The sequence below is a fragment of the Homo sapiens genome, chromosome 16, assembly GCF_000001405.40.
Source record: "Homo sapiens chromosome 16, GRCh38.p14 Primary Assembly".
In the NCBI taxonomy this organism is placed as follows: Eukaryota; Metazoa; Chordata; class Mammalia; order Primates; family Hominidae; genus Homo; species Homo sapiens.
This window is the reverse complement of record NC_000016.10, coordinates 89,728,577-89,751,459: the sequence shown is the minus strand read 5'-3', so window position 1 is coordinate 89,751,459 and position 22,883 is coordinate 89,728,577. Positions and strand designations below refer to the sequence as shown.

Here is a 22,883-nt window from a genome sequence, read left to right as displayed (position 1 = left end):
TGCTCTGTCACCCAGGCTAGAGTACAGTGGTGCGATCATATCTCTCTGCAGCCTTGACTTCCTGGGCTCAAGCAATCCTGACAGCGTGCACCTGTGTGCGCCACCACACCCAGCTGATTTTTTGTAGAGACGGAGTTTTGCCATGTTGCCCAGGCTTGTCTCGAACTCCTGGGCCCAAGTGAACCACCCATCTCGGTCTCCAAAATTGTTGGATTACAGGCGTGAGCCACTGCACCTGATCTTTATTCTTCTTTAAAAAATACAGCCGGCCAGGCACGGTGGCTTATGCCTGTAATCCCAGCACTTTGGGAGGCTGAGGTGGCTAGATCACTTGAGGTCAGGGGCTCAAGACCAGTTTGGCCAACATGGTGAAACCCCATCTCTACTAAAAATACAAAACACTAGTCAAGCATGGTGGTGTGTACCTATAGTCCCAGCTACTCAGGAAGCTGACTTAGGAGAATCAGCTGAGCTCGAGAGTCAAGGCTGCCATAAGCCAAGACTGCACTGCCGCACTCCAGCCTGGGCAACCGGACTGAGACTGTCCTAACAACAACAACAACAACAAAAGACTTGTGAGGCAAAAATGATGTGTGGGGTAAAATGTTAGCCAGAGGTTAATCTGGGTGAAGGGCACATGAGTGTCCTCCTGCTGTTTTTTTTTGTTGTTGTTTTGTTTTGTTTTGTCTGTTTGTTTTTGAGACAGAGTCTTGCTCTGGAGTGCAGTGGCGGGATCTTGGCTCACTGCAGCCTCTACCTCCCGGGTTCAAACTATTCTCCTGCCTCTGCCTCCTGATTAGCTGGGATTACAGGCGCCTGCCACCACACCCAGCTAATTTTTGTATGGCTAATTTTGTTGGCCAGGCTGGTCTTGGACTCCTGACCTCAGGTAATCCATCTGTCTTGGCCTCCCAAAGTTCTGGGATTACAGGCGTGAGCCACCATACCTGGCTGTTTTTTTTTGTTTGTTTTTTTTTGAGACGGAGTCTCACTCTGTTGCCCAGTCTGAAGTGCAGTGGTGCGATCTGGGCTCACTGCAAGCTCCACCTCCCGGGTTCACGCCATTCTCCTGCCTCAGCCGCCTGAGTCGCTGGGACTACAGGCACCCGCCACCATGCCCAGCTAATTTTTTTGTATTTTTTAGTAGCGACAGGGTTTCACCATGTTAGCCAGGATGGTCTCCATCTCCTGACCTCGTGATCCTCCTGCCTTGGCCTCCCAAAGTGCTGGGATTACAGGCATGAGCCACCACGCCCAGCTGTTTTTTCTTAATTGATAAGTAGTTGATAAGTAGTACTGTAACTCCTGGGCTCAAGGAATCTGCCTGCCTCGGCCTCCCAAAGTGCTGGCATTACAGACGTGAGCCACAGCACCCGGCCTGCACTGTTCTATATTTGCAATTTCAAAGTGATTTCCAATTGAAATAGCTTGCCCCACTTGTTCCTTCTTGCCCTGTCCACTGTGGAGACCTCTCCCTGACCCCTGACGTCTGGGTCCCCGACTGGCTGGGCAGTGAGCCCCGAGGCCTTCCTGTGCCAGCATACTGCTCTTTTTCAGGAGATGGTAGCTGACCTGGAGCTGCAGCAAGACCTCATAGTGCCTCTCGGCCACACCCCTTCCCAGGAGCACTTCCTCTTTGAGATTTTCCGCAGACGGCTCCAGGCTCTGACAAGCGGGTGGAGCGTGGCTGCCAGCCTTCAGAGACAGAGGGAGCTGCTAATGTACAAACGGTAACACCTACTACCACCTGGGCAGGGCAGCACCACCTGGGCAGGGCAGCATCTCATGACGGTCCTAGAGGTTCTTTGTAGTGAGTTTGTTTCCCGTTACTTACTTGTCTGTGTGTCCCCACCCCAAGCCTGTCCATTTCTGTGGCACATGCCACGGAGAAGAGGATCTGGAGGGTTGAAAGTACTTTTGATTAAAACCTTCCAGCCAAGCGAGGTGGTTCATGCCTGTAATCCTAGCATTTTGGGAGGCTGAGGTGAGTGGATCACCTGAGGTCAGGAGTTTGAGACCAGCCTGACCAACATGGCGAAACGCCATGTCTACTAAAAATACAAAAAAAATACAAAAAAATTTAGCTAGGTGTGGTGGCGGGCACCTGTAATCCCAGCTACTCGGGAGACTGAGGCAGGAGAGTGGTGTGAACCTGGGAGGCAGAGGTTTCAGTGAGCCGAGATCACGCCATTGCACACCAGCCTGGGCAACAGAGCGAGACTCTGTCTCAACAACAACAACAAAACCTTCCTGCTCAGACGTGGAGGGACGTCGCAGAAGGAGCTCTTGTGAAAGTAGGGAAAAGTGTTCAGAAATGCCCACGGCGGCTGCATTTATAAGAAGCAGCGTGGAGTCATTTAATTTTACAGTCATAGGGAATTGCTTCACTAGACAGACTGGTGCGTCATCCACTTGGTTATCGTGTAACTGTCAGAAGTTGTTGGTTATTATGTAACTGTTAAAAGTTGTTTGTTTGGTAACACATTTTGAATGCAGTGGGCCAAACACAGTATAGGGGAGGTGGGCTCAGAGTGCAGGCTTTGGATGGGACAGAGGGACACAGGCCAAGGCTCTGGTTCCAACAGTGGCCCTGGGTTTCAGGGTGGTGGTTGCTGCTCTGAGAGTCTGAGCCCTTGGGAAGGAGCAGAGTGTACGCTGTGCTGTCGCCACCAATACAGCCCCTTCTTTCCAGGATCCTCCTCCGCCTGCCTTCGTCTGTCCTCTGCGGCAGCAGCTTCCAGGCAGAACAGCCCATCACTGCCAGATGCGAGCAGTTCTTCCACTTGGTCAACTCTGAGATGGTAGGTGCCCCGTGTGCACGTGTCCGTCCGATCTGTCAGTGCCTGTGGCGCTAACAGCAGCTCTTGCAGCCTCCATGCGTGTACTGACCGTGTGAATTACTGAGGAAAGGGTTCAAAGTCAAATAGGGAACAGTGTCTGGAATGCCATGTGAGGGAGGACCCCACCCACAGCCAGGACGGCGACCAGCACATCACCAAACCAGCTGTAGGTTGCCTTCTCCCAAGTTTGAGTTCCTTTAGTTTCCCTCAAGTTTTAATGATTTTGACACATGGAATCGTACAGACCATTTTGTGTGCCACGCACCTCGGTTCATTTATTTCTAATCTCAACATGCTTCATGTGTAAAAAAAGCCTTGTGGTGATCTGACTACCGCTGTTGCCTGCCAGGCAGCCCAGTTATCTTCCATTTTAGACACTGCCCAGCGTGAGTTGCAGGGTGATCTTAACCAGCAGGCTGGGTGCGGTGGCTCACGCCCGTAATCCCAGCACTCTGGAAAGGTGGGGGATCACTTGAGCCCAGGAGTTCGAGACCAGCCTGGGCAACATGACAAAACCCTGTTTCTACAAAAAATAGAAAAATTAGCTGGGTATGGTGGTGCACGCCTGTACTCCCACCTACTTGAGAGGCTGGGTCAGGAGGAGTAATTGAGCCCAGGAGGCAGAGTTGCACTGAGCCAAGATCCCACCACTACACTCCAGCCTGGGTGACAGAGCGAAACTCTTGTCTCAAATAAAAAGAAGTGACACTCGCTGTGGGGACGGGCAGCGTAGGGACCCAGTTGGTCAGAGCTGGGGAGACGGATACCAGCCCCTCCCACTCTACAGAGAGCAGCTTCTGCTCCCGAAGGCCTTTTTCTTGTTTTTGAAGATGCACAAATGTGAGAGATGGAATTCAGGTTCCATGCCAGCTGTGCAGCATTTTATATTTTTATTTATTTATTTATTTATTTATTTTTTGAGACAGAGTCTTGCTCTGTCGCCCAGGCTGGAGTGCAGCAGTGAAATCTTGGCTCACCCTGCAACCTCCGCCTCCCAGGTTCAAGCGATTCTCCTGCCTCAGCCTCCTGAGTAGCTGGGACTACAGGTGCCTGCCGCCATGACCGGCTAAGTTTTGTATTTTTAGTAGAGATGACGTTTTACCATGTTGGTCAGTCTGGTCTTGAACTCCTGACCTCGTGATCCACCCGCCTTGGCCTCCCAAAGTGCTGGGATTACAGGTGTGAGCCCGGCCTTGTGCAGCACTTCAAAATGTGACAAGGAAAGCAGAGGACGTGAGACTAGCAAAAGCTTTCAGAAAATCACTATGGTCTCCTTTGAATTCTTATGAATGGCTGTTTTTCAGAAAGCTCTCAGTTGGCACGTGACAGCCGACAGACAGGAAAACACCATAGACAGCACTTGGTTAGTGAAGGGACCAGAGGATGGTTGGCCCTTGGTATTAGTGTCGTCCTCACCACAGTTCTACGCTCCGGGTGCGTCCCCTTCCCTGCGGCTGCTTGTGCCTCCCTGGCTTCTTCCTGGAGCCTACAAGACTGTTTGGGCCAGAGCTGGTGGGCTGCAGGATCTGGCCGCCCAGGGAAGCCGTTAAGTTTCAGGACAGCACAGCCAGGGCGCCAGGCCCGGTCAGCCCAGGAGCACCATCCATGGTGGCCACGCCAAGCCTTAGCGAGTGTTTTTCTCAAAACTGAATCCACAGCAGCCACTCTGCATGTTGGTCTCGCCTCTCTTCCTGTGGGCTTTTCTTACCTGCCTTGAACTCTTTTGCAGAGAAACTTCTGCTCCCACGGAGGTGCCCTGACACAGGACATCACTGCCCACTTCTTCAGGGTGAGATGCTCCCTCAGCCCCTCTCGTGGCCTTCTCAGAACGCCGTGGGTGGATCCTCCTGTCAGCTTCCTGTGAGTTCCTTCACTCTACTAGTTGTGGGTCCTCACAAACCGCTGACCTCCTGCTGCGTTCTCTCCTGCAGGGCCTCCTGAACGCCTGTCTGCGGAGCAGAGACCCCTCCCTGATGGTCGACTTCATACTGGCCAAGTGCCAGACGAAATGCCCCTTAATTTTGACCTCTGCTCTGGTGGGTCAGCTGTCTTGTTTGGTGTTTTGTTTTGGGGATGAGTGGGAGACTCCACAGCTGCCTCTGGCATCTCTGCAGCACGTCTCCATCACGGGTGTTACCATCTCAGGGAAAATGCATCAGGAGACATGGAAGCCACAGTTAAAGATGCCAGCTCATAGCAGATGAGGGCCGCACATCCTGAGTTCCCAGAACCGTCCCTGCCCCCACCGCCGTCACCATGGCACCCGCAGGACTTCTCCCCTGTGGACCCCACTCAGACCCCACGGGCACCTTCATGTCCACAGGGGTGCAGGGCTTGTTTGTTCACGGTCTTGGGTTGTGCACTGGCTGGAGGCTGTACGGTGGCTGCCTGTGCCCCGTCACGAGAGCATGACTGTGGCCCACTTGCGCCTGACTATGCTTTCTTGGGACTTCGGAGCAGAGACTTCACCTCAGCTCCCGCCAGAGCTCAGCAGGCTCCCCTAGCAGCCCAGGGTCCCGAGAGTGGGAGGAGGGCAGCATTTCCCTCACTTCCCTGGCGGCTCACTTAGTCCTGAAGACCACAGCTGTCGCCCTTCCTTCTCGGTCATCAGGGACAGGAGGGCCTTTTTCTCCGCAGCACGGCATGTTCCCCAGGGAGCTCCCCAAGCAGGCTGCATTTGCACCGAGTTGTAGCTCAGTTGGTGGAATTCGTGAGAAATGAACTCTTCGGTGTTTAGAACGCCACCTCTCAGCTGAGGGCATCCAAGGACCAGGCATTCCCAGCTCAGGGCAGTGTGGTCTCTTCACTGTTTCGTTCCCAGCTCAGAGGAGTGTGGTCCCTTCACTGTTTCGTTCCCAGCTCAGGGCAGTGTGGTCCCTTCACTGTTTTGTTCCCAGCTCAGAGGAGTGTGGTCCCTTCACTGTTTTGTTCCCAGCTCAGGGCAGTGTGGTCCCTTCACTGTTTTGTTCCCAGCTCAGAGGAGTGTGGTCCCTTCACTGTTTCGTTCCCAGCTCAGGGCAGTGTGGTCCCTTCACTGTTTTGTTCCCAGCTCAGAGGAGTGTGGTCCCTTCACTGTTTCGTTCCCAGCTCAGGGCAGTGTGGTCCCTTCACTGTTTCGTTCCCAGCTCAGAGGAGTGTGGTCCCTTCACTGTTTTGTTCCCAGCTCAGAGGAGTGTGGTCCCTTCACTGTTTTGTTCCCAGCTCAGAGGAGTGTGGTCCCTTCACTGTTTCATTCCCAGCTCAGGGGACTGTGGTCCCTTCACTGTTTCGTTCCCAGCTCAGGGGAGTGTGGTCCCTTCACTGTTGCGTTAGGCCAGGCTCTTCCTTCTCCAAATTCCACGTCTTCCATGAGTGTGGGTAATAAATGCCTCATGGAACTGCTTTGAGCCTTAATTGACGTAAAAAATACTGGCTTTGGAGTTCCAGAGCGCAGGGCGAGTGTGGGCCTGTAGTGGCCTGTAGGAGCACTGGGGGCTTGTCATGGCTGGGGCAGCGGAGGTGTGTCCATCTCAGCCACCCTCATCTGTGTGCTGGTGCTCTCTCCATAGGTGTGGTGGCCGAGCCTGGAGCCTGTGCTGCTCTGCCGGTGGAGGAGACACTGCCAGAGCCCGCTGCCCCGGGAACTGCAGAAGCTACAAGAAGGCCGGCAGTTTGCCAGCGAGTACGTGTGGGTGGTGAGATGGGGTGTGCCCGCCCAGATGCACTTCGGGACCTGCTCAAGGTCATCTCCTAAACACCCTGGCTTGCTTGAGAGAAGCGGTGTGGGCAGCCTCTCGTGTGAGCAGGGAGAAAAGAACCGAGTTCTCGTGGTGGTGGGCGCCTGTAATCCCAACTACTGGGGAGGCCGAGGCAGGAGAATCAGTTGAACCCAGGAGGTGGAGTTTCCAGTGAGCCGAGATCACTCCAACGGCCAATAGAGCAAGACTCTGTCCAGAAAAAAAACAAAAAAAAAAACAGCCTCTGCCAGTGTCTCGTCTGAGTGAGGAACGGCCTCTCCCAGGCTCCCGTCTGAGTGAGGAGCTCGAGTGATTCCTTTGCACCTGCTCCCCTTCCTCTTAAATCTAATGTGGGCTCCTAGAGTGCACCGCGTGCTGGTAGGGTCAGTGTCATGGGGACCTCAGGGATGCAGATTCTCAGCCTACCCTGACCTGTCGACCCCAGTCAGATATTCACGGGTCCTTGCAAACCATCAAGCTCCTGGCGCAATCCAGGCTCACACACCCTTCTGAGGACCACAGAGCTGACAGCCACTCCACCTGCTGAATGTGGGTGCCGTGTTCTTAAGGGGTCGTCAGAGGGCACTGCTAGTACCCATCCTGCCTCCTTGGAGAACACCTTACTTTGTGACTAGTTTTGAATCACTGATGCCACACCGGGTCCCCTCAGGGTTTGGCTGCTCGCCGTCTGCTGAAAGAAGAGAAGAGGGCCCCGGCGCGGTGGCGCACACCTGTAATCCCAGCACTTTGGGAGGCCAAGGCAGGTGGATCACCTGAGGTCAGGAGTTTGAGACCAGCCTGGCCAACATGTGAAACAATCTCTACTGAAAATACAGAAATGAGCTGGGTGTGATAGTGTGCGCCTGTAGTCCCAGCTACTCAGGAGGCTGAGGCAGGAGAATTGCTTGAACCCAGGAGGTGGAGGTTGCAGTGAGCCGAGATCATGCCATTGTAGTCCAGCATGGGCAATGAGAGAGAAACTCCATCTCAAAAAAGGAGAAAGCAGGTCACACCTCCAGTTCTAATTCTACAAACACAGATCAGATTGTCTGAAGTTTTGTTTTTTGTTTTGTTTTGTTTGAGACAGAGTTTCACTCTTGTCACCCACCCTAGAGTGAGATGGCACGATCTCGGCTCACCATGACCTCCGCCTCCCAGGTTCAAGCGATCCTCCTGCCTCAGTCTCCTGAGTAGCTGGGATTACAGGCGTGAGCCACCATGCCTGGCTAATTTTGTATTTTTAGTAGAGACAGGGTTTCTCCACGTTGGTCAGGCTGGTCTCGAACTCCCGACCTCAGGTGATCTGCCTGCCTCAGCCTCCCAAAGTGCTGGGATTACAGGCGTGAACCACCACGCCCTGCCTCGTTTTTGTTTATTTGAGATTGAGTCTCACTGTGTTGCCCAGGCAGATCTCAAACTGCTGGGCTTAAGCGATCCTCCTGAAGTGCTATGATTGCAGATGTGAACCGTCATGCCCAGCTTATTTAAAGTCTCTTAAACCACAGCATTGTTTCATTAATTTCCTACCAATTTTTTAACCAGCCAGAAAACTCAGACACCACACTGGGGCCAGAGCCAGGCAGTCCTTTGTTCTCTGTTGTAGGAGGGAATGCCTGATCCACAGGGCCAGGCATGGGCAACTGAGGAAAATGAGGCCTCTTCTTCCAAAATGTAGGCAGCTGGGGCCCAAGAGCACAGGGCAAGGTAGACAGGACCAGGCCAGCTGCCTGCTCAGTCAGCAGCTCTCAGAACGCCAGGATGCTGTGGGGGCAGCACCAGCACCTGCCCACACTCTCACGTGGACCTGGGGGATGCAGACCTAGTTTCTGATGGTCCTGAAACCCTTCTCTGTCCTCTGATGGAAAGGCAGGCCCCAAAGGTGACAGGTGGGAATAAGGACTTGGTTTCTATGGCGTGGTTGTATGGTTGTAAGGCCCTGCAATGACCCCGTTCTCTCTGTCCCAGTTTCCTCTCCCCTGAGGCTGCCTCCCCAGCACCCAACCCGGACTGGCTCTCAGCTGCTGCACTGCACTTTGCGATTCAACAAGTCAGGGAAGAAAACATCAGGAAGCAGCTAAAGAAGCTGGACTGCGAGAGAGAGGAGGCAAGATAGGAAATTCTTTTACTGATTTATTTTCTCGCAAGCTTGGTTTCAATCAGTGCTATTTCTCTGGGCTTGTCTGATGAACTGTTTTTCTAAAGACAAATATGTGGCTTGGAGCAAGACTTTTTTTTTTTTTTTTTTTTTTTGTATTTTTAGTAGAGACGGGGTTTCACTGTGTTAGCCAGGATGGTCTCGATCTCCTGACCCCGTGATCCTCCCGCCTTGGCCTCCCAAAGTGCTGGGATTACAGGCGTGAGCCACCACGCCCAGCTGGCTTGGAGTAAGACTTTGACTATCAAGTTTACTAGTAAAAATAATAATTTCAGTTTTTTAAATGGTTGTATGTAGTTGAGACAGGGTCTCACTGTCGCCCAGGCTGGAGTGCAGTGGTGCAGTCAGCTCACTGCAGCCTCTTCTGGGCTCAAGCCATCCTCTTACCTCAGCCTCTGGAGTAGCTCAGACTACAGGTGTGTGCCACCATGCCCGGCTAATTTTGTAATTTTTTCTGAGATGGGGGTCTGTAGTCCAGGCATGGTGGCTCATGCCTGTAATCCCAACACTTAGGGAGGCCGAGGCAGGCGGATCACTTGGTGTCAGGAGTTTGAGACCAGCTTGGGCAACATGGTGAAACCCTGTCTCTACTAAAAACACAAAAATTAGTCGGGTGTGGTGGTGCGCACCTACAATCCCATAGCCTGTAAAGCTACTCAGGAGGCTGAGGCAGGAGGATCACTTGAACCCAGGGGGCAGAGGCTGCAGTGAGCCAAGATCACGCCACTGCCCTGCAGTCTGGGTGACAGAGCGAGACTTGTCTCAAAAAAAAAAAATTTGTTTAAAGTAAAAATTAAAAGAGATGGGGGTCTCACTGTGTTGCCCAGGCTTGAAGTGCGTTTCTTCAGCTTATTTTTATCCTCATCACAGCCCAGCGTAAATGCTGTCAGCCTTCAAGTGGTGCCTTCTGTGTTCATGCTGCAGTAGCCTTGATTCATGTGCTGAGGGACAGCCCCAGATAAGCTTGCAGTGAGACAGCTCAGACCTGGGGTGCTGGGGACAAGAGGCAGCAAGGATGGGACCGTCTGCAGCCATAGGCATAGGGAAAGGAGTGGGAGAGGCTGCTCTTGAATTCCAGGCCAGGGACCATGTTCGACTCAGACCCACTGCCCACCTGGTTGCTGCACCCTGGAAAGCCTGACTGCCCCCACAAGACCAGTGACACCCACACAGCTCTCTGTGCAGGGAGCCAAGGGTGGTGTGTGCAGAACAGGAACAGAAACAAGCATCCCACAAGAGAGCTGGAGGCAGCAGCCCTCTGTGCCCAGCCCGAGATCCGCAACGCATAGGTGCCATGTCAGCACACAACTTACACCAGCTCAAAGCTGGATCGACAGCAGCGCCCAGGGTTTTGGTGATTATAACCACCCTGCAGGGGTTCTTCTGAGTACGTCTTCAGGTTTCTTGTGTAGTTTTGTTAGAAGGGATTTTAGTGGCTCCAGGGCCTTAGGACCCTAGTGTGCAGCGAGGAGTGTCCACAGAGACCCTGCCCAGTCAGGCCCTACTTTAGGCTGGAGCCTGTGGGCTTATCTTCAAGGATTTTACAAACACTTCTGACAGGAGGCCTTGCAGGGAGATGATGCTGAGTTGGGACTGCGCACAGCCAAGGAGACCGCAGCAGTCTTCTCTTTCTGGCTCTTGTCACTTTTTCAAACTGTTTCTAGCTTTGTTTAAAGGCAAGTGTGAAATGACCCAGCCAGTAGTAATTAATTCTCAATTAAGCTGTCTCTCTAGAAGTGATTGGAAAGTTTTCTAAGATCCACTTAAAGGATTTATGGCCTAGATGTAAAAAATTTCAATTAAAGAGGAATGTGTCAGCCTTATTTAGAATGACAGCACAGGTAATTTTAATGTAATAATAAGTGCACGTTTTTATTTACAGCTATTGGTTTTCCTTTTCTTCTTCTCCTTGATGGGCCTGCTGTCGTCACATCTGACCTCAAATGTAAGTCAGACCTTACCAGCCAAGGTGTCCTCTCCCACTGTGGGCCAGGCAGGGGCACCAGGCAGCCAGCTTCCAAGTCAGGGTTTCCAGACTAGCTCAGGAGCTCCTTGTGTTTGCGGAAGTGTGAGTGAGAACTCCCAGGCCGTGGGTTTTTTTTTTTTTTTTTTGAGATGGGGGTCTCACTCTGTCACCCAGGCTGGAGTGCAGTGGTGTGATCTCAGCTCACTGCAACCTCAGCCTCCTGGGTTCAAGCAATTCTCCTGCATCAGCCTCCCGAGTAGCTGGGATTACAGGCGTGAGTCTGTCACACCCGGCTAATTTTTGTATTTTTAGTAGAGACGGGGTTTCACCATATTGCCAGGCTGGTCTTGAACTGGCCTCAGTGATCCGCCGACCTCGGCCTCCCAAAGTGTTGGGATTACAGGCATGAGCCACTGCATCCGGCCTGTGGGCCTTTCTTTTAATGTCTTATTTGAGGACGTGGTGCAGCAGCCTTGGTGTGGGTGCTCGAAGTCCCTGGCCTCCTACCTGAGCCTCTTCTGTCCAGAGGCCCAGTATTACCTTCTATAGGTAAAACTGTCACCAGTTTTAAGACTTACAATAAGCAAAGAGGAAATGCCCTCTTCTGTGCTGAGGGCTGTACCCTCCTACCCATGGGAGCACCAGGTCGGCCATTCTCAGGGTTGGTCTCCTGCGGTTTACAGAGCACCACAGACCTGCCAAAGGCTTTCCACGTTTGTGCAGCAATCCTCGAGTGTTTAGAGAAGAGGAAGATATCCTGGCTGGCACTCTTTCAGTTGACAGAGAGTGGTAAGAAACACGCTGCTGAGGCACAAATGCGGAGGGCCGCTCTTTTCAGAGGCATCTTGCAAATGGTTAAGAACGAGCCCTCCTTGAGGTTCCTTGCTAAGTAAGTTTATAAGCTCCATTTTAGTTGGGACAGATTAAGCACAAACTTGTTTAAAGCAATAAGATAATTTACTGGCTCACTGGTCAACCCCAGGACCAATGGGCCTATCATGGGGACTGCCTCTCTCTGCACCACACCCACCCTCCTGCAAGAGGTCGACCCCCCCATCCTCTCCCAGCTGCTGACAGGTACCTGGGTATCCTCAGCTCAGGCTGTTCGCCCCACACTATCCCCACAGCCAGGCCTCCCAGGGTACACGTCCCGACCCCCAGGGGTGTCCCCAGCACTGATAATAGGCAGAGATGTCCAGAGTTGCCTGAGCCACTTCTTGGTGTTGCAGACCTCAGGCTGGGGCGGCTCCTCCTCCGTGTGGCCCCGGATCAGCACACCAGGCTGCTGCCTTTCGCTTTTTACAGGTACCTCCACCCACAGGGCTGGTCAGGGCTGGGCAGTGTTTCCCAGACCCCCATCTCAGCACCTCTGGGTCCCGCCAGATGGGAAGGGTTGTCTGTGCCTCTGCTCCACAGATGAGCAGTATCCCTTGGCATCACCTGCTACCTTTCCAGCAGTCTGTAGCCATTTGTCACTATGTCTTTACCTCTAGTCTTCTCTCCTACTTCCATGAAGACGCGGCCATCAGGGAAGAGGCCTTCCTGCATGTTGCTGTGGACATGTACTTGAAGCTGGTCCAGCTCTTCGTGGCTGGGGATACAAGCACAGTTTCACCTCCAGCTGGCAGGAGCCTGGAGCTCAAGGGTCAGGCAGGTGCAAGGGCCAGTCCCACCTCCAGGGGAGCTCCCCCCAGCCGGAGGCTCCTTCTGCCAAAGAATGTTCCGGCACAGCATGCAGACTATGGGGGACACACCAGCCCTGTTTCTGTATGTCTTCTAACCTGTGAGTTTGCCTGTTTTCTCTCTAGGGCAACCCCGTGGAACTGATAACAAAAGCTCGTCTTTTTCTGCTGCAGTTAATACCTCGGTGCCCGAAAAAGAGCTTCTCACACGTGGCAGAGGTAACGTCAAGATGCCCACCTTGGGCCATGTGGGGGACATGAGAATTGACAGCTGCCTGGGCCATGTGCCTGCCTGGCTGGCAATACAACTCGACTATTTCTGCCAGAGCCCCTCCCCTGTGGTCTGAGGCCTAGTGGGCGGCATGGGCTGAGGACCTGCTCCTCTCTCACAGCTGCTGGCTGATCGTGGGGACTGCGACCCAGAGGTGAGCGCCGCCCTCCAGAGCAGACAGCAGGCTGCCCCTGACGCTGACCTGTCCCAGGAGCCTCATCTCTTCTGACGGGACCTGCCACTGCACACCAGCCCAGCTCCCGTGTAAATAATTTATTACAAGCATAACATGGAGCTCTTGTTGCACTAAAAAGTGGATTACAAATCTCCTCGACTGCTTTAGTGGGGAAAGGAATCAATTATTTATGAACTGTCCGGCCCCGAGTCACTCAGCGTTTGCGGGAAAATAAACCACTGGTCCCAGAGCAGAGGAAGGCTACTTGAGCCGGACACCAAGCCCGCCTCCAGCACCAAGGGCGGGCAGCACCCTCCGACCCTCCCATGCGGGTGCACACGAAGGGTGAGGCTGACACAGCCACTGCGGAGTCCAGGCTGCTAGAGGTGCTCATCCTCACTGCCGTCCTCAGGTGGGTTCGGGCTTCACCGCCTGGCCCTCTGTGGTCACAGAGGGGCTCGGTGGCCCAGGTGGTGGTTCCGCCTCCAGGGGCAGGGCCTTGTCCTGGGTCTGTGTCAGCGGGTGCACCATGGACATGTGTACATTGAGGTTGTGGGCCTTCTCAAACCGCCGGCCACACTGGTCACAGGCAAAGTCCAGCTCAGTCTCAGCCTTGTGTTTGGTCATGTGGTACTTGAGGGATGCCCGCTGCCTGCACTGGAACCCACAGACCTCACACCTGGGGGACAGAGGCAGATAAGAAGGTGCGAGGGCCACAGCCCTGGGAGGGGGTCCTGACTCACACTTACTGCAAAGGCTTGGCTCCCGAATGTCGCATTTGGTGGACGAGAAGGTGCTTCCGCTGCTTGAAGGTTTGTCCACATTCGTCACAGATATAGTTCCGCACCTCTGAGAGGGGAGAGTCCAGTGAGTCCAGGCCCCTGATGCTCCAACCTCCCGGGGGGACGACGATGACAATGTGAAACCATCACAGCTGGGAAGACATTTCTGCACATGGTTCACCATGCAGTGGGCCCAAGCAAGGGGCCTATGAGGGCCTCGTTTATTAAGATCTTTAAACTGCTTTATACACTGTCACGTGGCTTCATCAGCTGTGTGCATTTCAGGATGGTTTTTAAAGAAACCTCAGAAAGCTATTTCCTTAACCACAGATTCTTGTCTTTTTTTTTTTTTGAGATGGAGTTTCGCTCTGTTACCCAGGCTGCAGTGCGGTGGCGTGATCTCAGCTCACTGCAACCTGCGCCTCCCAGGCTCAAGCGATTCTTGTGCCTCAGCCTGCCAAGTAGCTGGGATTACAGGCGCCCCCCACCACGCCCAGCTGATTTTTGTATTTTTAGTAGAGACAGGGTTTACACCATATTGGCCAGGCTGGTCTTGAATTCCTGACCTTGTGATCTGCCTGCCTCGGTCTCCCAAAGTGCTGGGATTACATGTGTGAGCCACCGTGCCTGGCCTACAAATTCTTAAAGGAAGCCGTATCACTAAGGTTGTATAGAATACTGATTGTCACAGCTATGGCTGTTCTCTAGAATTCATCTCCATATGAGAGGGGTCCATACCCAGGGTCTGGGGGTATGCATTGCTGTACTGGCTCTGGAAATCTTTCTCACACCCTTGAACAAAGAGATCTCACTTGCTAGTCCACAAATGCCACATGTGGACATGCAGACCCACTCACCCTGTGCTGCCTCCACATCTGTCAAGCCCTGAAACGCTTCACAAGACAGACTTTTCTCTTCGAAGGGAAACCCTATCTTGGCATTTTACTCTACGCTGTTCTTTTTTTTTGAGACTTGAGTCTTGCTCTGTTGCCCAGGCTGGAGTGCAACAGCCCAATCTCAGCTCACTGGAAACTCCACCTCCCAGGTTCAAGGGATTCTTTTTTTTTTTTTTTTTTTGGAGACAGGGTCTTGCTCTGTTGCCCAGGTTGAAGTGCAATGGTACAATCATGGCTCACTATAGCCTGGAACTCCCAGGCTTAAGTGATCCTCCTGCCTCAACCTCTCAAGTAGCTGGGACCACAGGTGTGCACCACCACACCCAGGTAATTTAAAAAATTTGGGGGGCCGGTGCAGTGGCTTACACAAAGTGCTCAATCCCAGCACTTTGGAAGGCCAAGGCAGGCGGATCATGAAGTCAGTTCAAGACCAGCCCCAGCCCAATCAATATGGTAAAACCCTGTCTCTACTAAAAATACAAAAATTAGCCAGGTGTGGTGGCACACACCTGTAGTCCCAGCTACTCGGGAGGCTGAGGCAGCAGAATTGCATGAACCCAGGAGGTGGAGGTTGCAGTGAGCTGAGATTGCACAGCTGCACTCCAGGCTGGGCGACACAGACTGTCCCGGAAAAAAAAAAAAAAATTGGGGGCTGGGCACGGTGGCTCATGCCTGTAATCCCAGCACTTTGGGAGGCCAAGGCAGGCAAATCACCTGAGGTCAGGAACTCGAGACCAGCCTGGCCAACATAGCAAAACCTGCCTCTCTACTAAAAATAGAAAAATTACCCAGGCGTCATGGCTCACGCTTATAATCCCAGCACTTCGGGAGGCCGAGGCAGGTGGATCACAAGGTCAGGAGATTGAGACCAGCCTCACTAACGTGGTGAAACCCCGTCTGTACTGAAAATACGAAAAATTAGTTGGGTGTGGTGGCCAGCACCTGTAGTCCCAGCTATTTGGGAGGCTGAGGCAGGAGAATGGCTTTACCCCAGGAAGAGGAGCTTGCAGTGAGCTGAGATTGTGCCACTGCACCCCAGCCTGGGCGACAAGAGCAAGACTCAGTCAAAAAAACAAACAAACAAACAAAAAAAAACACCCCCGGCGTGGTGGCAGATGCCTGTAATCCCAGCTACTCAGGAGGCTGAGACAGGAGAATTGCTTGAACTAGGGAGGTGGAGGTTACAGTGAGCCAAGATCGCGCCACTGCACTCCAGCCATGGTGATAAGAGTGAGACTGTTTCCATCAATAAATTAAAAAAAAAGTTTTTGGTAAAGACGGCCTCACTATGTTGCCCAGGCTGGTGTCAAAATCCTGGCCTCAAGCAATCCTACTGCCTTAGCCTCCAAAGTGCTGCGATTACAGGCATGAGCCACTGCACCCGGCCCAATTTCAGGTTTTTAAGGAACTGCTGGTTGTGACCATCAGTGACCGGACAGATGCAGAGTCTGAAGGACCAAACCCAAGGAAGTGCTGCCATCAGGAGAGATGTCGGAGAACCCAAAAAATAACAACCCGCATGTCGGGAGATGACCCAGCAGTGAAAAGCAATCCTAATGAAAAAATACTTCAGTAAATTCAAGTAAGAATAAATAATTCTTATTCTGTAATAAGTTCAAAACCAAGGAAAACTGTGTGTGTAAGGATCAATATACAGTTGTCCTCAGCTGGTTCCAGGCCCCCCCCCACCCCTTACCAAAATCTGCTCATACTGAAGTCCCGAAGTTAGCCCTGCAAAGACCCTACAGAACCTGCACTTAGGAAAAGGCAGCCCTCTGAATACCAGGGATTCGAGTCCCTGACCATGGATATGTGGGTCCACGTGGTTCAAACAAGTTTTTTTTTTGAGACAGTGTCTCACTGTTGCCCAGGCTGGAGTGCAGTGGTGTGATCTCGGCTCACTGCAACCTCCACCTCCGCCTCCCAAGTAGCTGTGCCTACAGGCGTGTGCCACCACACCCAGATAATTTTTGTATTTTTAGTAGAGACCAGGTTTTACCATGTTGGCCAGGCTGGTCTTGAACTGCTGACCTCAGGTGATCCACCCACCTCAGCCTCCCAAAGTGCTGGGATTACAGGTGTGAGCCACCACGCCCGGCCAAGTTTGTCATTTTGAAAACATATCCTTGTTGGATTATAAAAGTAACTTGTGCATTATAGAAATTGTGAAAAATAAGACGGGCACAGAGACAGCACCCTCAGTCATAATTCCCCCATCCGCCTCCGGTCTTAATGACACGACCTACACACATGTGAAAAGGCAGAACCACACGTGCCTCCCGCCTGTCCACGTGGGCAGCTCCCCAGAGCTGGTGTGCCTTCATGCCTTCTGCCTTGCCTTTTAAGATACACTTGTTTGGGCCAGGTGCAGTGCTCACACCTGTAATCTCTGCACTTTGGAAGGCTGAGATCACTTGAGGTCAGGAGTTAGAGATCACCCTGGCCAACATGGTGAAACCCCGTCTCTACCAAAAATTACAAAAATTAGCCAGGCATGGTTGCGGGTGCCTGTAATCCCAGCTACTTGGGAGGCTGAGGCGGGAGAATTGATTGAACCTGGGAGGCAGAGGTTGTGGTGAGCCAAGATGGTGCCACTGCACTCCAGCCTGGGCAACAGAGCAGGACTCCGTCTCAAAAAAAAATTAAAAAATAAAATGACCAATTTGCAAAAGGACACCAAGATTGCTTGGCTATTAGTTTTGACAAACTGCCTAGATCCTGGGGAAGTCAGGAATTCCTTCCATCACAGGGAAGGGCAGATTCACACTGACGCCCTACTCTAGCCTTCATCTACCAACGTGACTGAGTACCAAAGACCCCATGAGCCACCTTCACGCACCCCCAACTCTTGGGGCGGGGATGGGTATGAGGAAGACTGGAAAGCAGGTCACGTGCCCCTGGCTGTCACCCGCGTGGGCGACACTGGCGATAGGCGTACCTGTGTGGATGAGCTTCACGTGGCGCTGCAGGTAGCGGTCGATCATGAAAACCTTGTTGCAGCCAGGGTGGGGGCAGGGCCGCTCCCGGACCTCCTCGTGGTGCTCCTTGATGTGCTTCTGAAGGAGAGACTCGGTGAGAGACCCTCAGAGCCGCACCCGGGCCACATGGCACGAGCCCTCAGTAGGTGACAGCTGAGGCCCCTGGAAGGCAGATCCAACTCCTCCTCCAGCGACACCACTGGCTCCTTCACAGCTTCACTCCAAGAAACTTCTAGACCCCCCGGGGGGTGTCTCAAGTGAAAGTCTGGCCTCACATCTACCCCCAAGGATGGCACTGGCTAGGACTGCTTCAGGTCTCGGTTAACCTAGGTCAAAGTGTCCTTGGGCGCAAGTCTGAGTTAGGCTGCAGAAACACCTGCTACCTCCCCCAGGTTCACACTGACAGCTGCCGGGCCTGGGTCAGGCACAGCCAGTGCTCACCTTCATGCCGTCAGCGCCTCGGTACACGGCCGTGCAGCCCTGGTAAGGACACTTGTAGATGGTGGGAAGCTCCTCCCTGCAATGAAGAGCATGCATGGAGCCCCGGCCCCGACAGGCAGGGCGAGCCTCGCGTTGCAGGCATCACCTCTCACAACGAAGCTTCTTCTTCCATCCGGGCTTGGGTCCCGGCTTCTTCCGAATTCTTGGTTCTTCAGACTTCTTGGCTTCTTTGCTTTCACTCTTCTTACCAGAGACTCTGAAAAAAAGAGGTTCCCAAATTCAATGGTTTCTGATCTCCATTTGCAAAATGTTTTTTGTCTCTCCAACCTGAGAAATGGTCTTTTCTGAAGCTTCCCTGAGTTGCTTCTGTGCTGACTGACCCTCAGAATCTACCTGAAGCCACCAAAGCCAGAGCAACTCTGGACAGGAGGCCTCAGGGGCGAGCACAGCAGAGGGCAAGGGCGCAGGACACAGCAGGGTCAGGGGTGAACACAGCAGAGGGCGAGGGCGCAGGGTACAGCAGGGTCAGGGCAAACACAGCAGAGGGCGAGGGCGCAGGGTACAGCAGGGTCAGGGCGAACACAGCAGAGGGGGAGGGCACAGCAGAGGATGAGGGCGCAGGGTACAGCAGGGTCGGGGTGAACACAGCAGAGGGCGAGGGCGCAGGGTACAGCGGGGTACAGCAGGGTCAGGGCGAGCACAGCAGAGGGCAAGGGCGCAGGACACAGCAGGGTCAGGTGAACACAGCAGAGGGTGAGGGCGCAGGGTACAGCAGGGTCAGGGTGAACACAGCAGAGGGCGAGGGCATGGTACAGCAGGGTCAGGGGCAAACGGCAGAGGACGAGGGCGCAGGGTACAGCAGGGTCGGGTGAGCACAGCAGAGGGCGAGGACGCAGGGTACAGGAGGGTCAGGGCAAACACAGCGGAGGGCGAGGGCACAGGGTACAGCAGGGGTGGGTTCTGAGAACTAAAGCTTCACCCTGTGCTACACATAAAACCCACAACTAGAGGTATCAGGACGGCAGAACAGGGATGTCCAAAGGACCACTCCTTTATCAAAACGACCTTACGCTAGGAAAAAGCTCAGAATCCACTCTCTCAAAATGGGTCAGCTTGATTCCAAGCTCAAGCCACCCAGGCAGGGCTTCAGAGGAACAGGTGATGCTCCCTGGGAAGCACACGGTGAGTAGCTGCCACCCCAGCATTCCTCAACCCCGCCTCCACTGCAGGGAGCCCAGCCTGTGTTCCTGGAGCTGCTGGCTGGGACCATGGTGGGCAGGAGACCTTGTCCTCCAAAAGTCTGGGGTCGTGCATTTTAGTTGGTCTGGCAAGTCCCTGAGGGACCAGCAAATGCAGCAGCTTCCAGTGTGCGTCTATCGGAGACTTAAAGAGAGAGACGCACTTGTGGTTCCTTTCTGGATCCAGGTAAGAATAGTTAAGGAAATATCTCAAGAACAGAAAGGAACTTCTTCACCACGATAAAACCTCTACATGAAACCCACAGCAGACACCACGCTCAACTGTGAAGGACTGAAAGCTCTTCCTCCAAGGTCAGGAACAAGATACGGATTCTCTCACCACTGCTCTCAGGGCAGCACTGGAGGCCCTAGCCAGAGTAACTGGGCAAGAAAAAGAAAACAAAGACAAATTCTCCCTATTCACAAATGACACGACCTTCTACGTAGAAAACCCTAAAGATCCACATACAAAAAACCCTAATTAATTATTTCAGCAAAGTTGCAGGGCACAAAATCCATACACAAAACCCAGTTATGTTTCTATATATTATCAATGAACAATACATATGCAATAGCATGAAAAAAGTAGTTTACACTGCCGAGTCCAGTGGCTCATGTTGGCAGTCCCAGCACCCTGGGAGGCTGAGGTGAGAGGCTCACTTGAGCGCACAGGGCTGCAGTCAGCCATGATCGTGCCAGGGCACCCCAGCCTAGGCAACAACATGAGACCCTGTCGCTAACTGCCCTTCTCTTTAAAGAGTGCATTGAGGCCGGCGCGGTGGCTCACGCCTGTAATCCCAGCACTTTGGCAGGCTGAGGCGGGCGGATCATGAGGTCAGGAGTTCGAGACCAGTGTGGCCAACGTGGGAGAAATCCCATCTCTACTAAAAATACAAAAATTAGCCAGGTATGGTGGCACATGCCTGTAATCCCAGCTACTCAGGAGGCTGAGGCAGGAGAATCACTTGAACTCGGGAGGCGGAGGTTGCAGTGAGCCAAGATCGTGCCACTGCACTCCAGTCTGGGCAACAGAGCAAGACTCCATCTCAGAAACAAGACAAAAACGCACTGAGAAGAACTGTTGACTTCGCACAGGCTGCGCCTTCTCTCCCTGTCCCTAATAACTGGTTTTCATGACCTAGCCACATGTCCCCCTCACCTGCCCTGCCTGCCTGGATTGGGTGGCCCCTTGTTTGTGAGTGGCTGGCCATGCCGTTCCCACAATGACCACTCACCTCCTCAGCACAGGAGGCTTCAGAGCACCCGCAGTCTCTGTGCCCTCGTGTTTGGGACGGGAATCTTTGCGGACCGGGTGGGCTGGGCTCAGGCCTCACTGCTGCCTGTCAGTTCTTTCCCCATGGGGGTGCAGGCCCTGGCCTTCCCCTCTGGCGGGAACCACTGACCCCTCATTAACACATCACAGAAGTCTCTTCTCATGCGCCCCCAGCTGAGGACACAGGCGGGCACGCCCGCTAGAACTCCAAGGTCAGGGTTGACAAGACTGGGAGGCAGCACACGGGCCGGGGGCTGTGCAGAGGCCCTTCTGGGTTCCCAGGGGGGTCTCACGGTGGCAGCTGGGGAACCAAGTGCCCCTGGTACTCGCCGCAGTCAGGAGGCCATGCTTGCTACCACCCAGTCCTGCCTCCTGCGCAGCGGTTTCCACTGAAGTCACCCCTTTTATTAGAGACCTCTGAAAACGTATCTCCCGTGTCTCTGTTCCAAAGCACGTCTTTGTCTGCACTCCTGGGGTCCCAGAGGGACTAGTGACACAGTCTGAGTGTGCTGTCCCTGTCACAGCAGCAGGGGCTCAGCAGAGAGGACCCTCCCCTCCTGAATCTGCCTCGATCCGGAAAAGGCTCGCCTGGCTCCTCCCATCCCAGCTCCCAGCCCTCCTCACACCAGCAGCCCCAGACCTTCTGGGCAGCAAGCCAGAGACACATTCTCAGGTGTCCTGGGATTCAGACTCAACCCGGAGGGTCACGGAGTGGGGGCTTCCGTACAGCAGCCTCAGGCGGCACTCCCAGCCATGACTCCTGGGAACAAGCCTGGGGGTAGGGACCCCCGGGCACCTTTTCTGGGCCTGACCAGTTTTCTGTTCATGCTGAAGCTGCTGCAGCCCCTCTGGCTCAGTCCTGCCCTCTGCTTCGCATCTCTCTCCGGGCCTCCTCCACTGCTCCCGTTTCTCTTTTCAGAACTTAACAGCATCAGAACTTCCATGAAAAAAGGCCGTTGACCTCTCAGTCTGCACAGCAGGGTTCTAGTGGCTGACGGTGGTGCTCAGAGCCACCTGCCCTCTGGACCTTTGTTCTGGGCTGTGAAATGCTCAAGGACAGGGACTGGGTCAGTCACCAACTACCTGGGAGTGTTCTGGGTACTGCTGGGTATAGGGCTGCAAAGAAAACAGCACAAGTGAAAACCAGCCCTCACTACCAGGGCCTGTGTTCTAACTGAAGAGAGAAAATAAAAATCCCTAAAAACAAAGTCAAAACAAGCTCACAGAAGTCATTCAACAGGGAAGTGGACCGTGGCTGCCTGGCCATGGACATCAGTGATGGGGTCAGAACTGGGAGGATGACAGAGCTGGGTCCTCGGGCCTCTGGGGACGCACACAAAGCAGAAGCGACGGGTTGGGGGCTTCGGGGGTACACTGGGGTGTGAACCCAGGGCAGGACCGGCAGAAGGGACGTAAGAGCCTCCTTCTCAAGCAAGGCGGGGTTCTGTCGACAGAGACACCTGCCATCCACTGCTGGGACTCTGAGGCAGCCTCACAGTGCCGAGACCAGGTCCCAGCTCCAAAGCACCAGGAGGACCCACCTTCTCACCTGCCCGCCTGCCCCTCCCCCGCCTCCCGCTCACTGAGGGAAGCCACGTTTCACTGGGCTCGGGAGATCCGCACACGAGAGAGTGAACTGAGTGGGCACCGGGGAGAGGCCCTGGAGCACAGGCGGGTGTCTAGGTCGCCCAACGGATGCCTCCAGCAGACCCCGGGCTGCCCACTTACTTCCTTTCTGGGTAAGGCTCAAAGGACTCGTCCGAAGACTGGGCATTTTGCTTCTTGTCATTTTCATCTTCACTCAAGACGTCTCTAGGAATTAAGAGAGAATCTTCAGCAAAGCCCTGGGCCTGGGCAGTGACAGACCCAACACGACCTCCTGCCTAAAGATACCAAATGGACCCCCATGTCCCACATTTGAGTTCTTCTGAAAATGTCTTAAATCTAAAATCCCCAAATTTCCAATCCCGTTTCCGAACACAAAGGGCCAGCCAGGCTCACAAGCCAGCAATCCCCACAAGCCATGTGCTCTGGGCACCAGGACACTGGACTTGGAAACAGCCCTTTCCACAGCGGCCCAGAAGGGGTGGAGGCGCTCAAAGGTAGCTTCCTGCTAAGCAGACTTTGAGAAATCGACCACCTCACCCCATAACTGCGAACCCTATGCAACTGATGGGTTTGCCATGAGTCACTTCTAAGTTCACAAAAGTGGCTGGGTGCAGAGGCTAACTCCTGTAATCCCAGCACTTTGGGAGGGTGACGTAGGTGGATCGCATGAGGTCAGGAGTTCAAGACCAGCCTGGCCAATACCGTGAAACCCCGTCTCTACTAAAAATACAAAAATTGGCCGGGTGCGGTGGCTAACACCTGTAATCCCAGCACTTTGGGAGGCAGAGGCGGGCGGATCACGAGGTCAGGAGATCAAGACCATCCCGGCTAACAAAGTGAAACCCCGTCTCTGCTAAAAATA

General features: G+C 53.6%; 2 protein-coding genes across 16 annotated transcripts in view, besides 9 other annotated features; one reads left to right on the top strand and one right to left on the bottom strand.

Annotated features, from left to right (window-relative positions):
• Positions 1 to 13,911, top strand: part of FANCA (FA complementation group A) — a 79,099-nt gene extending 65,188 nt beyond the window's left edge. The window contains exons 32-43 of one of the 2 annotated variants that reach the window (NM_000135.4): positions 1,558 to 1,730; positions 2,693 to 2,801; positions 4,570 to 4,629; positions 4,772 to 4,876; positions 6,389 to 6,501; positions 8,522 to 8,660; positions 10,594 to 10,656; positions 11,361 to 11,466; positions 11,907 to 11,982; positions 12,171 to 12,327; positions 12,486 to 12,578; positions 12,752 to 13,911. In NM_000135.4, the coding sequence (NP_000126.2) occupies positions 1,558 to 1,730; positions 2,693 to 2,801; positions 4,570 to 4,629; positions 4,772 to 4,876; positions 6,389 to 6,501; positions 8,522 to 8,660; positions 10,594 to 10,656; positions 11,361 to 11,466; positions 11,907 to 11,982; positions 12,171 to 12,327; positions 12,486 to 12,578; positions 12,752 to 12,859 (1,302 nt within the window). In that variant the 3' untranslated portion in view covers positions 12,860 to 13,911. Of the gene's footprint in view, positions 1 to 1,557; positions 1,731 to 2,692; positions 2,802 to 4,569; positions 4,630 to 4,771; positions 4,877 to 6,388; positions 6,502 to 8,521; positions 8,661 to 10,593; positions 10,657 to 11,360; positions 11,467 to 11,906; positions 11,983 to 12,170; positions 12,332 to 12,485; positions 12,579 to 12,751 lie in introns of both variants that reach the window. The other variant, NM_001286167.3, reaches the window with a different exon arrangement.
• Positions 4,590 to 4,759: an enhancer, noted in NCBI's record as "experimental_46718 CRE fragment used in MPRA reporter constructs". NCBI's record gives its function as "activates a minimal promoter by MPRAs in K562 erythroleukemia cells, with activity observed for both the introgressed and non-introgressed 16:89813194 variant alleles {active_cell/tissue: K562}" and the evidence as "EXISTENCE:reporter gene assay evidence [ECO:0000049][PMID:34662402]".
• Positions 7,156 to 7,325: an enhancer, noted in NCBI's record as "experimental_46714 CRE fragment used in MPRA reporter constructs". NCBI's record gives its function as "activates a minimal promoter by MPRAs in K562 erythroleukemia cells, with activity observed for both the introgressed and non-introgressed 16:89810628 variant alleles {active_cell/tissue: K562}" and the evidence as "EXISTENCE:reporter gene assay evidence [ECO:0000049][PMID:34662402]".
• Positions 7,822 to 7,991: an enhancer, noted in NCBI's record as "experimental_46713 CRE fragment used in MPRA reporter constructs". NCBI's record gives its function as "activates a minimal promoter by MPRAs in K562 erythroleukemia cells, with activity observed for both the introgressed and non-introgressed 16:89809962 variant alleles {active_cell/tissue: K562}" and the evidence as "EXISTENCE:reporter gene assay evidence [ECO:0000049][PMID:34662402]".
• Positions 9,622 to 9,822: a silencer, noted in NCBI's record as "peak2667 fragment used in MPRA reporter construct". NCBI's record gives its function as "represses an SCP1 promoter by STARR-seq MPRAs in K562 erythroleukemia cells {active_cell/tissue: K562}" and the evidence as "EXISTENCE:reporter gene assay evidence [ECO:0000049][PMID:32103011]".
• Positions 9,956 to 10,125: an enhancer, noted in NCBI's record as "experimental_46707/46708 CRE fragment used in MPRA reporter constructs". NCBI's record gives its function as "activates a minimal promoter by MPRAs in K562 erythroleukemia cells, with activity observed for the introgressed 16:89807828 variant allele {active_cell/tissue: K562}" and the evidence as "EXISTENCE:reporter gene assay evidence [ECO:0000049][PMID:34662402]".
• Positions 10,241 to 10,410: an enhancer, noted in NCBI's record as "experimental_46706 CRE fragment used in MPRA reporter constructs". NCBI's record gives its function as "activates a minimal promoter by MPRAs in K562 erythroleukemia cells, with activity observed for the introgressed 16:89807543 variant allele {active_cell/tissue: K562}" and the evidence as "EXISTENCE:reporter gene assay evidence [ECO:0000049][PMID:34662402]".
• The window catches only part of ZNF276 (zinc finger protein 276), a 20,558-nt gene continuing 8,209 nt past the window's right edge, over positions 10,535 to 22,883 (bottom strand). For 7 of the 14 annotated variants that reach the window (NR_110128.2, NR_110126.2, NR_110129.2 and 4 more), the window contains exons 6-11: positions 22,142 to 22,225; positions 18,048 to 18,158; positions 17,903 to 17,978; positions 17,422 to 17,539; positions 13,555 to 13,654; positions 10,535 to 13,484 (exon numbers count right to left, since the gene is read on the bottom strand). Coding sequence is in view for 7 of the 14 variants with exons in the window: in XM_047434901.1 (XP_047290857.1) it covers positions 13,214 to 13,484; positions 13,555 to 13,654; positions 17,422 to 17,539; positions 17,903 to 17,978; positions 18,048 to 18,158; positions 22,142 to 22,225 (760 nt within the window). In the remaining 7 variants the exon portion in view is untranslated. Of the gene's footprint in view, positions 13,485 to 13,554; positions 13,740 to 17,421; positions 17,540 to 17,902; positions 17,979 to 18,047; positions 18,159 to 20,796; positions 21,530 to 22,141; positions 22,226 to 22,883 lie in introns of those variants that run through there. The other 7 variants (XR_007064929.1, XM_017023889.2, XM_047434903.1 and 4 more) reach the window with 5 other exon arrangements.
• Positions 10,653 to 10,822: an enhancer, noted in NCBI's record as "experimental_46704 CRE fragment used in MPRA reporter constructs". NCBI's record gives its function as "activates a minimal promoter by MPRAs in K562 erythroleukemia cells, with activity observed for both the introgressed and non-introgressed 16:89807131 variant alleles {active_cell/tissue: K562}" and the evidence as "EXISTENCE:reporter gene assay evidence [ECO:0000049][PMID:34662402]".
• Positions 21,925 to 22,094: an enhancer, noted in NCBI's record as "experimental_46690 CRE fragment used in MPRA reporter constructs". NCBI's record gives its function as "activates a minimal promoter by MPRAs in K562 erythroleukemia cells, with activity observed for the introgressed 16:89795859 variant allele {active_cell/tissue: K562}" and the evidence as "EXISTENCE:reporter gene assay evidence [ECO:0000049][PMID:34662402]".
• Positions 22,232 to 22,803: an enhancer, noted in NCBI's record as "H3K4me1 hESC enhancer chr16:89795065-89795636 (GRCh37/hg19 assembly coordinates)". NCBI's record gives its function as "activates a minimal SCP1, AML or CMV promoter by ChIP-STARR-seq in primed H9 embryonic stem cells {active_cell/tissue: H9 hESC(primed)}" and the evidence as "EXISTENCE:reporter gene assay evidence [ECO:0000049][PMID:30033119]".